This window comes from Homo sapiens, chromosome 7 (genome assembly GCF_000001405.40).
Source record: "Homo sapiens chromosome 7, GRCh38.p14 Primary Assembly".
Classification (NCBI taxonomy): Eukaryota; Metazoa; Chordata; class Mammalia; order Primates; family Hominidae; genus Homo; species Homo sapiens.
In genome coordinates this window covers 136,983,320-136,995,610 of record NC_000007.14, presented here as the reverse complement: position 1 = coordinate 136,995,610, position 12,291 = coordinate 136,983,320, and the positions used below count along the sequence as shown (strand labels likewise).

Below are 12,291 nucleotides of genomic sequence, written 5' to 3'. Positions count from 1 at the left end.
TTTTAATTTTTGTAGAGACAGGGTCTCCCTATATTGTCCAGGCTGGTCCTGAATTCCTGGGCTCAAGTGATTCTCTCACTTTGGCCTCCGAAAGTACTGGAATTATGGGCATGAGCCACCACACCCAGCCCCTTGTGGAATTGTTATTGGTCTGTTATAAATAATTAACATTTTTATAATGTTGAGTATTCATATCAAGAAATATTTTTTACTTATTCAAGTTTTTTCTCTTGTCCCTTTCTGATGTGTTGTAATTTTTCGGTATACAAATATTGAACATAAAATTTTTATAGACCTGTGTTTGTGTATGTATATTTGTGTATATCTTGCTAAGGTCGACCTTCCTTATTTTTAGTTGCACAGTGAATGGGATCTTTTTGCCACTATATTTCTAATTGTGATGTATGTATATGTAGACAATTCACATAGACTATAGGGAATATGTTAATAAGATAAAATTATTAGTTTTGTACTTGACTACTTCTATACAATGTGTATAGGATATATTAATATATAAAAGCTATTATTTTACATTTGGCCACTTTCTCCGTATAAATAATTGATATGTTAATAAGAAATTATGCTTATACAAAATTATGCTTCTGTATTTATTAAAGTTAATTGTATTCCACAGCCTTCTCACCTCTGAATAAGGATCGTTGTAATAACCTGGTGGCTATTGCAACGAAGTTATGGATAAGAACAGAGTTTTCCAAAACAATGAATACAGTATATAAATCTGCTTATCCCCTCTTCCCTATTAAACTAAGCTGAGATCATATGGGATCTAGTCCCACTCATAAGTTAGTATTTATCAAATAATTTAAGCTACTTTTAAATTAAAAAATAAATATCTAAAAAATTTAATATATTTGATTTTATTGTGTATAACTTGAAAAATAACCTCATCGTTATGACAATTATTTGAATAAAGACAATAGTGCTAAACGTCTTTCTTTGTTGAAAAAGGGAGAATCGCTTGGACCCACGAGGAGGAGGTTGCGGTGAGCCGAGATCGTGCCATTGCACTTCAGCCTAGGCAACAAAAGCGAAACTCCGTCTCAAAAAAAAAAAAAAAAAAAAAAAAAAGAAAAGAAAAAAAGAGCAGAAAGCACTATAGAAAATGAATATTATATAACCAAATAAGTACCTCTCTATCAAATAAGAAATTGATGTGGCTTATGTAGTGTGGCCCAGCAAATAAAATGCGAGTTTATTTTTTAAGGCAAAGTCATAATATTAATGATTATTTTACAATGCAGGAGCAACTCAGAAATAACTTTCATATGGAATGACCACTAATGATGACATCTGCAGTAAGCATGGATACAAAATACATTACTGACTCTTCTGAAACACCATTGATGTTTGAGCTCTGACACTTTTGACTATAAAAATGACAGATTTATTTTTGCTTTAAAATATCCCTTCATTTTCCCCAAGGTCTGTCAGTTTGTGATGTGGAGGTCAGGAAAGGGGTTGGAGCATGAGAGCAGGTACAATCAGAGAGCTAGAGAGAGCATTTGGAGCGGCAAGGTCTTGATTTCACCTTTCACAGTTAGTATTCTGCATTTATGTGGCATTGCAACCATCACCTGCAAGCAAGCAACCTTTAAACAAAACAGTGGAAACATAGTCACATCGGTTTATTTATTTTCTTATTTATTTATCATTGAATGTACGAGGCAATTGGCTGGATTTTTTTAAGACTTTTAAGTTGATGGCTATGATTTCTATGCATGCTGAATTTGTGAGTGCTTTTTTTCTTTTGAAACAAAAATTATCAGGTATGGAAAGCATTTAGGATCTGTATTTTTCCTCATTTTACTTTTTCACTTTGGGGTTGGATTTCTTTGATCATAGAACTTTGGAATGGGTTCTGAGGCTAATGTATGTAAAAGCTTTTCTTTACTAAAGAGATAAGGTCAGAACTATGCACCTAACCCCATTATCATGTTCTTCCTAGCTCGAGCTTATTTTAGTGACAGGCAGAAAGCCACTGGGCTAGAGTTGTTTGCTTTCCCATCTATGGCCATCTCTGGCACTTCTCCGTATGCCTGTCAAGGGGTTGTGGCTTCATTTTCAAGGGAACGTGTGAACATGCACTGCATTATATCTCTCTCCCCTGACCTCAGGGAGCTAATACTGAGAAAAACTAACAATTTTTGTTTATCTAAAAACAATTGGCCCACTGTCAAAGGTGGTACTATTTTTATAGACAAGAAAACTAAGGCACATTAAATGAGTAAGTTATGTGCCAGCTAGTAAGAGATGGTGCTCAGACTTGAAATCAAGGGAGTCTCATAGCTAAGCTTTTGCTCCTGATCATACAAATATCTCACTTGCTGAAGCAAGAGCATGTTATATCTGTGCTCTCTTCCTCTCTTTCTCTCTCCCTCTCTCTCACTGTATGTGTCTGTGTGAAGATACAGCCATAACTCACTTCTATGAATAAAAATACCTCTCAATGAACCAGACTTACTATAAGCTCATCAGTATCTATCATGACTGTATGACTTTGATAGTTAATTTTATGTGTCAATTTGATTGTGACATAGTTCCTAGTTATTTAATCAAACACAAATCTAGGTGTTGCTGTGAAGGTATTTTGTATATATAATTAACGTGTACAATCAGTTGAATTTAAGTAAATGAGATTTTTCTTAATAATGCAGGGCCTCATCCATCAGTTGAAACCTTGAGAGTAAAAACTAAGGTTTCTTGGAGAATAAATTCTACCTCAAGATTGCAACACCAACTCCTGTGTGAGTTTGTAGCCTGCTGGCCTGCCTTAATGATTTCAGAATTGCCAGTTCTCATAGTTTCATGATTCAATTCCTTAAAAGAAATCTCTTTAGATAGAGAGAAAGACAGAGGGAGAGAGAGAGTCAGTCAATCCTTGTTACTGATGGTAGTTACGTTCTATAAAATCAACGTGAACGCTGAATTTGCAAATACTAAAATATTGCTTCTAGAGGAAATTCATCATTAAGGGCAGAAGATTTTGAAAATTTAAAAAACTCAGGAAATTTTGATGTATTAAGTCACGTGCTTACGGTAGGGTGTAGAACATTTTTCCTGACAAGTTGAATCAACTTGATTTGGAATAACAAATAGTTCTTAGTGAATAGTTTGTCCCTGGTCTGTGGGTTGTTCTGTTTAAGTGGAAGTTAATAGAAATATCCTAACACGACAACCCAGATTAATATTATTTCATAAGAGTAACTGATGTTTAATTTTACTTGACATATTTACCTTTCCAAAGGATTATTGTGACTTCACAACAACTTAATGTTTTGTCTATAAATGTATTAATTTATTCATTAAAAATTTATTGAGCACTTACTATATGCCAGGCATTGGGTGCTGAGAATACACTCTTGAATGGGTAAGATCCAGACCCTGTACTCATGTCGCTAACAACCTGGTAGAAAAGAGAAACAAAACATGTGTGGGAAACAGTAAAAATAATTACAACAAACAGAAAAATGGAGTATATTAGTCTTTACAAGGACAGATCCTAAACTGGAATTCTTGAGAGAAAAGTCTGTTGTGACTCAAGTTAGACACCAACATCTGAAGTACATGCACCTGTCAGGACAAAGGTTTACTCCTCCAGGAACATGGAAGACTGGCATCTCACTTAGGCCTGAGAATAGAATCACATGTACTCAAAGAGAAGTGACTCTGAGAAACATGGTCTGAGTAAAGGCCTTCAGCTTAAAATAAGTGTGATAATAGTAAGTATTGTAACCCTAGCTCTCATTAAAAAATGGTAATCAGCTACTGTAGTTTGCCTCCATGACAAAGAGTATATTTGCTAAGTTTCATCATACAGAATCATTGAAAATTGATTATGCATATAATTTTATCAGACAGACGTGGCAGAGGAAGGATTTTCATCAAAGAAAAATAAAATCAAGAGAAGATTGTCAATCTATATAAATATCTATGAAAAAGTGCACCTCCCTCCTCACCTCCAGATGGTAGCTAAGTTAATCCAAGCTTGGCAGTGTTCTCCAATGGAACAATATGGTACCTATCTCAACAATGTATTGTAAAAATATGTGTAAAGCTGTAGTAATCAAAACAGTTTGGTATTGGCAAAATAATAGACAAATATATCAAGGGAACATAATAGAGAGCTCAGAAATAGACCCACATGAATATAGTCAACTCATTTTTGACAAAGGAGCATAGGCAATACAATGGAGCAAAGATAGTCTTTTCAACAAATTATGCTGAAATACCTGGACATCTGCATGCAAAAAACCAATGAATCTAAGCACAGACCTTACTCCCTTCACAAAAATTAGCTCAAAGTGGATCAAAGACCTAATTGTAAAATGCAAAGCTATAAAAATCCTAGAAGGTAACATATGGGAAAAAACTACATGACTTTGGGTATGGTGATGACTTTTAAAATACAACACCAAAGGCAATCCATGAAATAAATAATTGATAAACTGAACTTCATTAATATTGTAAACTTCTCTGTGAATGACAATGTGAAGACAATGAGCAAAGAAGCCACAGACTGAGAGAAATGAAAAGACAAACCCACAGTTATCTTAATGGATAACTCACCAGAAAACATATACAGATGGTAAATTAGCATATGGAAAGATACTTTATATCATATGCCATCAAGGAAATGCAAATCAAGACAATGAGATAACTACTACACATTTATTAGAATGGCCATAATCTGGATCACTGACAACACCAAATCCTGGAGAGGTTGTGGGGCGAGAGAAACATTCATCTACTGCTGGTGGAATTGAAAAATGGCACAGCCACTTTGGAAGATAATTCAGTGGTTTCTTACAAAACTCAACATACTCTTACCATAAGATCCAGCAAATAATTATATGCTTCTTGATGTTTACCCAAATAAGTTAAAAACATGTCCACACAAAAACCTGCACATAGACATTTGTAGCAGCTTTATTTATAATTGCCATAATGTGGAAGCAACAAAGATATCCTTCAGTAGGTGAATGAATAAACTGTGGTACATCCAGACAATGGAGTATTACATAATGCTAAAAACAAGTAAGTTATCAAGCCATGAAAAGACATAAGGGAACATTAAATGCATATTGTTACGTGAGAGACAGCAATATGAAAAGACCGCATACTGTATGAATCCAACTATATGACATCCTGGAAAAGGCAAAAACTGTGAAGACAGTAAAAAGATCAATGGTGGGCAGAAATTGCCAGGGATGGAGTTCTGAATAGGTGGAGCATTGAGGACTTTTATGGCAGTGAAAAAAACACCATATAATATAATGATGGGTACATGTCATTATATATTTGTCTAAGCTCATAGAAAGTACAACACCAAGAGTGAACCCCAATATAAACTATGGACTTTGGGTGATAATGATGTGTTCAATGTATATTCATTGCAACAAATGTACCACTCTGATAGAGGATGTTGAAAATGGTAGAGGCTGTGCATGTGTGAGGGTAGGAGGTATATAAGAAATCTCTGTAATTTTGCTATGGACCTAAAACTGCTTTAAAAAATAAAGTCTTAAAAAATAAATATGATCATGATGATGCAGCAGAGAATAATCTGAGTAAATGTAACAAGGCCAGAAACTGCAGTGCATGTAAGTTCAATGGTGCTGGAAATGCAAAATTGAGTCTGGGAGAGGTGAAGGGAGGTGGCTGAGAGTCAGAAAGAAGTTGAACTGTTGAAAACGTATGCGCTCTGCTTAAGAAACTCAGACTTCATGCTATAGTGGATGGGGATCTGATGAAGGTTCTAAAAAAGGAAGTACTATGAATAAATTTGTATTTTAAGTAAATTTCTGAAATAGTTGTGAAGGGGATGGATTTTAAGGGACAAAACCAGGAGCAGAAAGATTAGTACCTAAGTCACGCAATGATCCATGGCAAACAAAGGACCTAGGGCAGAAATAAATGAAAGGGATGGAGAAGACATGCTAGGTTTTAAAATGTATAATTGAATTTGGAGAATGAGGGAGGGGAAAAGTCAATAATGACATACATATTCCTATGACTAGTGGGAACTCCAAAAAGCAGAGGGACTTGAACTTCCTACAAAAGGCTAATGAGTCTACAGTGGGTATCATGGATGCACATCTTTAGCAATTAGTTTGCAAGACAAGATAGGTTTTATTCTCTTTATATAAACTACTTCTCAATTAAGCATCTGAATTTCCGTAAGTATGCATCATACTAAGATAAATTTGAGTCCTTCTCCAGTCATTAATCACTGTGTGACTTTGAGTTAGTTACTTAACTGTTTTAACTTTCATCCCTTTAAATATCAAATAAAAATAAGGAAGATCTATTAAATGAAAGGAGATATATGAAAGAAAGATGCAAAAAGTTAAAACTATAAAAACAAAAATCTTTAACCTTAGCATGGATTTTTCCCAAACATATAGAAATACATATATTAAATATGGATCAATATATCATTGTGGTCAAGAGAATTAGTACTAAAATCAGACTAATAAGGAACAGACCCTGGTTCTGTCACTTTTGATGTGACTTTTAGCAAGTTATAAAACCTCTAAAGCTTTAATTTCCTCTTTTATAAAATGAGGAAAATAATGGCACCAACCTCATAGGTTTGGTGGGAAGACTGTAAAATTCTAAAAGTATTTAAAATATTTTCTTAAATTCGAATATACTAAATAAGCATTGATTATCATGAATTCATAAATTTATTTGTATAAATATATAAAATATATGTATATGTATAGGCATATTTATTAGACTCAATTTTATAAAATTGCCAATATTCAACCATTTTGACTCACAAAAATGGCAACAGCCTATAATCAGGACAAGAACACAAGATAATCAAGTCACCATCTAGATGCACTTGGTGCTTTATTATCTCATTTTTGCTGATTTTCTTAGGCAAGCATTGGCTGCAGGACACAGTTGAACTTATTATCCAGTAAATTATTATTTGTCTACTCTATTTGTTGACAGTCATGAGAGAAGAAATAAAGAGTACAGGTTGAAGCTGACGGTACCATTGGATCCCAGTGCAGAGCTGTGTAACCTTGGACAAGTTACTTAACCTTTCTAAGCCTCAGTCACCTTCTCTCTACAATGAAAAAAATCTATAAAATTGTTACAAGTATTAAATGAGATAATATATGTAGAGCACATAACATATAGGCCAGCAGATAATGAGCACTCAATTATATTACCTATTAGTACACAAATTAGTAATTACTGACTCAAATTTGATTTTCTACAGATTACATGGTATTTTCTGTCCTGCAGCTTTTTCCCTTCCCTCTCCTTCCCTCACCTCCTCTTCCCACTCCTTTTTTCCTCTTCTCTTCCCTGACCTCCTTTCTCTTTCCTTTTGTCTTCCCTTTCTTTTCTTTTCCTTTTTAATGAAGAACCACTGGGACTAATTATGATCTGTATCTGAACTATTCTGGATATATGTATCTATTAAAGAACCTTCCCTGGAAAATGATACATTGTTTTATATATATCTAAATATACATATATTTACATACATAAATTTTTATATATTCATATATGTAAATAAATATATTATACATAAAATTCTACTGTTTTTAGGGATGAAATATTTGTGAATTTATTTTTGTAAGTATGATTTACATGCACAATGTTCCTTCTCATTTTAGAAAGGGAAAATACTAATATTAAACTAATCTGCACCCTATTTGCTTATAAAAATATGTAATAAAATAAGAAAATTTGGAACTGTTGGGATCAATAAGGAGTGTTATACACAATCCCTGAAGAGAGATGGACTTAATTGAAGTCCGAATGTGTTTAAGAGAATATGTAAGTGGCCCCAGAGAGGGTAATATGATTGAATAAGGAGGGATGCACATTTAAAAGGCTAACCTTTTGGAAATAGTCCCTGGTAGCTCCGACTGACGCATCCTTGCCTCCGTATAGTTCACCCATTTGTCATTTGCCCTACCCTGATCCATTGGCACAGCTGTGGCCAGTGTGAAGCACAGTGGCAGATGAACTCACTTGAGCGTCTTTGAGGGTTTGTATCTGCAACTGTGAGGACCATGTTAAGTAAACACTGGGTGTACAATACGTGATGTTAAGTTAATCAAATGACTAGTAGGGAGACTGGGCATAGCTTTGACAGAAATTTTCTCTAGATCTGTCTTTTGACCTCTGATTTTAATGGTGAGAGGATGTTCATGGTTTCAGAGTGTGCAAATGTAGAAAACAGTGGATAAGCCCCAAGGGCAGTCCCCACATGTGGAGAAGGAAGCCCAGTGACATAGAGCTGGGATATGTCTGAAGCAACAGAGGGTGCCCCTAAATGATTGTCTTGCAGCAAAAGAAGGAACTTTTGACTGTGGGCTGCTGCTGTTTCAACACAGTCCCTGTGCTATGTGCTGGAGCAGGGTCACAGAGGAAAGGGACCTGTGAACCTGAACTTTAAGGAAAGGAAAAATAGAGAAAGGAGGAAGAGAAAAAGAAAGAGAAATAAAAAAGAAAGGATACCTGGAGGCAGTAAGAAACTGTTGAGGACATTAGAGTTGCATTTTCTCAAGCGGAAGAGAAAATCAGTTTTTGTTTGGTTCGTTCAGGTTTTGCCTGTTCGTTTCTGTTTTGCCTGGTACAAAAAGGTGAGATGTTTTGCATCAGATGCAGGTAGAAAAATAAGTTAATAAGTGAATGAATGAATGCATATACTAATAAATAAATTGGGTCCATTATAAGAAGGGTGTATTTCATATACAATAAGAATGAGTTTGAGCAAACCTAAAACTTCTGTTCAATCTGGAACAAAAACGGTCCCTATAGACAAGGAAGCCTGGGTAACTTATATGTTTTGCAGGTGCTCCTGATTGAATCTGCTTAGGAATACGGCTTGCCCCAGGGTAGAACAAATCATTATTTGACATTTCTTAGCTCATTGTAAGAGACATTTAGACCAAATTTTTAACAAGATAAATATTGTCAAAATTATGATCAGGCAAATTACGGAAGAACAAAAGTGGTTGATGCTAATTGCCCAAATATATCTTAATTGATGAACCCAACATGTGAGAAATAAGGAGGCCAGTGTTTGGAAAGCTATTGAGTGGTCTACAGTAAATTTAACTAACTGTGATCAGGACCTTGCAGATTCAGTTTATACACCCTGCTTTCCTTTGCTCTTATATTGAAATGAGAGCTTATAGCTTAGAATATATTGTTAATGAGATTGGGCCTATAAGCATATTACTTGGATTTTTTAAATAATTAGGGTATAGAAAAGTACTAATATAGATAATTTAATCTTTGAGGGGAAAATTGTGTATCTAAAGAAGGAAAGGGAGTAAGATGATGAATACTTATTTAAAAAAAATAAACTGCCAAAATAAGGAAATGCTTTGGTGCTTCCTCAGTCATGGGTTCAACTTTAAAGATAGTTCTGAGGTGGGTTCGGGGCCTGCTGAAAAGAACGATCCTCTCCATTTCCATCACTGTCCAAATGAGTCATAAATCAGCTGATTGGGTTCTCATCTATTTCTAGGATGAGAGAGGGATGATGATAGGACGGGTCACTTGGTGTAGTTATTGAGAATCCATTCATTTATATAAAAAAGAACAAGGAAGAGCTGTCATTATGCTTAAGATCCCCCTCTCCTCTGTTTTTAACCTTTTAAGTAATGGAAAGCTATTAGAAGATTTTGTTTGCCTCATCCACTGGTTGAAAAATCACCTCAGTGTGGAAGCTGATCTTTGCCAAATGAATATGGAAAATACCAATGTTATTATAAATTCTGTTTACTCAGAGGTCTTGCCAGTGAGTGAACTCCATACAACCCAGAAAATATACCTTAATATTGGTCGTCTGTAGTGGAATACTACCTAGGGAACTTAAGGAAATGCTCAAGTAACATTATGTTCTAAATAAAAGACAGGTAGATTTAGGCTATGCTGGAATTGATTGTAAGATGCTAATCTAGGTCCTTTCTTATAAATAATCTTGGACGATTGAAATGTAATCCTGTCTTAGATTGATACAAACTCCATTGCTTTCTTCAATGCCATGACTCAGGATATTTCAGATATTAGAGGTGTTTTTGTTTTTTTTTTTTTTTTTTTTTTTTGGAGTCTAACTCTGTTACCCAGGCTGGAATGCAGTGGCATGATCTCAGCTCACTGCAACCTTCGCCTGCCGGGTTCAAGCGATTCTCCTACCGCAGCCTCCTGAGTAGCTGGGATTACAGGCATGTGCCACCACACCCAGCTAATTTTTGTATTTTTAGTAGAGACGGGGTTTCATCATGTTGGTCAGGCTGGTCTCAAACTCCTGGCCTCATGATCTACACACCTTGGCCTCACAAAGTGCTGGGATTACAGGCGTGAGCCAAGGTGGTTTTTAAAATTAACTCGAGTAATCTTTAAAATCCTAGTAGCTGGTCAAAAATAATATGGCTGGAATGCATATGTGCTCACATGTGCAGCTTTTACCTCAGTGCTGTGTGTTGCAGCATTGGCATTAGGGTTTCCAGCACCTTACCATGATACTAGAACAGCAATGACAAAGTTTATTCTATAGAATACTAACTAGTTCCACAAATTGTTAAACAAACTTTCTGTAGAATAAACCATTCTACTGTCAAATAAGTCTGGGAGAACTCTTACGCTCAATTCTTCATTTGTTGTGCCATAATGCACACTGATGTATTAAAGATGCTCTAGGATTCCTGAGCAAGATAGCTGAATAGGAACAGCTCTGGTCTGCAGCTCCCAGCGAGACCAACGCAGAAGGCAGGTGATTTCTGCCTTTCCAACTGAGGTACCAGATTCATTTCATTGAGATTGTTAGACAGTGGATGCAGCCCATGGAGGGCAAGCAGAAGCAGGGTGGGGCATTGCCTCACCCAGGAAGTGCAAGGGGTCAGGGAACTCCTTCCTCTAGCCAAGGGAAGCCGTGAAGGACTGTGCCGTGAGGAATGGTGCTCTCTAACCCATATACTACATTTTTCTATGGTCTTCACAACCTACAGACCAGGGAGGAGATTCCCTTGGGTGCCTACACCACAAGGGCTCTGGGTTTCAAGCACAAAACTGGGCAGCCCTTTGGGCAGACACTGGGCTAGTTGCAGAAGTTTTTTTTTTTCTTACCCCGGTGGTGCCTGGAACGCCAGCGAGACAGAACTGTTCACTTCCCTGGAATGGGGGCTGAAGCCAGGGAGCCAAGTGGTCTTGCTCAGTAAATCCCACACCCACGGAGCCCAGCAAGCTAAGATCCACTGGCTTGAAATTCTCGCTGCCAGCACAGCAGTCTGAAGTCCACCTGGGATGCTCCAGCTTGGTGGGGGGAGGGGCATCCACCATTACTGAGGCTTGAGTAGGCGGCTTTCCCCTCACAGTGCAAACAAAGCCTCTGGGAAGTGTGGACTGGGTGGAGCCCACCACATCACTACCAAACCACTATAGCCAGACTGCCTCTCTAGATTCCTCCTCTCTGGACACAGCATCTCTGAAAGAAAGGCAGCAGCCCCAGTCAGGGGGTTATAGATAAAATTCCCATATCCCTGGGACAGAGAACCTTGGGGGAGGGGCAGCTGTGGGTGCAGCTTCAGCAAACTTAAACATTTCTGCCTGCCAGCTCTGAAGAGAGCAGCGGATCTCCCTGCACAGTGCCCAAGCTCTGCCAAGGGACAGACTACCTCCTCAAGGGTCAAGTCCCTGACCCCTGGGCCTCCTGATGGGGAGACATCTCCCAGCAGGGATTGACAAACACCTCATACAGGAGAGCTCTGACTGGCATCTGGCAGGAGCTCCTCTGGGATGAAGCTTCCAGAGGAAGGAGCAGGCAGCAATCTTTGCTGTTCTGCAGCCTCTGCTGGTGACACCCAGGCAAACAGGGTCTGAAGTGGACCCCCAGCAAACTCCAGCGGACATGCAGAAGAGGGACTTGACTGTTAGAAGGAAAACTCACGAAGAGAAAGCAGTAGCATCAACATAAACAAAAAGTACGTCCACGTAAAACCTCCATCTGAAGGTCACCAACAGCAAAAACCAAAGGTAGATAAATCCATGAAGATGAGGAAAAACCAGTGCAAAAAGGCTGAACATTCCAAAAACCAGCACACTTCTTCTCCTCCACAGGATCACAACTCCTCACCAGCAAGGGAACAAAACTGGACAGAGAATGAGTTTGATGAATAGACAGAAGTAGACCTCAGAAGGTGGGTAATAACAAAGTCCTCCAAGCTAAAGGAGCATGTTCTAACCCCATGCAAGGAAGCTAAGAAACTTGATAAAATTGCTAACTGGAATAAC

The 12,291-nt window shown here is 37.3% G+C and overlaps 1 protein-coding gene and 1 long non-coding RNA gene across 12 annotated transcripts in view; one reads left to right on the top strand and one right to left on the bottom strand.

The window, feature by feature from the left end:
• Window positions 1–12,291, bottom strand: part of CHRM2 (cholinergic receptor muscarinic 2) — a 151,562-nt gene that overhangs the window by 24,603 nt on the left and 114,668 nt on the right. For 5 of the 11 annotated variants that reach the window (NM_001006630.2, NM_001006626.3, NM_000739.3 and 2 more), the window contains one exon: window positions 3,347–3,424. The exons of 4 other annotated variants lie outside the window; for them this stretch is intronic. The gene's annotated coding sequence lies outside the window, so the exon portion shown is untranslated. Of the gene's footprint in view, window positions 1–3,346; window positions 3,425–8,508; window positions 12,173–12,291 lie in introns of those variants that run through there. 2 more of the 11 variants (NM_001378972.1, XM_047419847.1) reach the window with 2 other exon arrangements.
• LOC349160 (uncharacterized) overlaps window positions 1–12,291 on the top strand; it is a 265,569-nt gene that overhangs the window by 168,731 nt on the left and 84,547 nt on the right. The gene's annotated exons all lie outside the window — the stretch shown is intronic.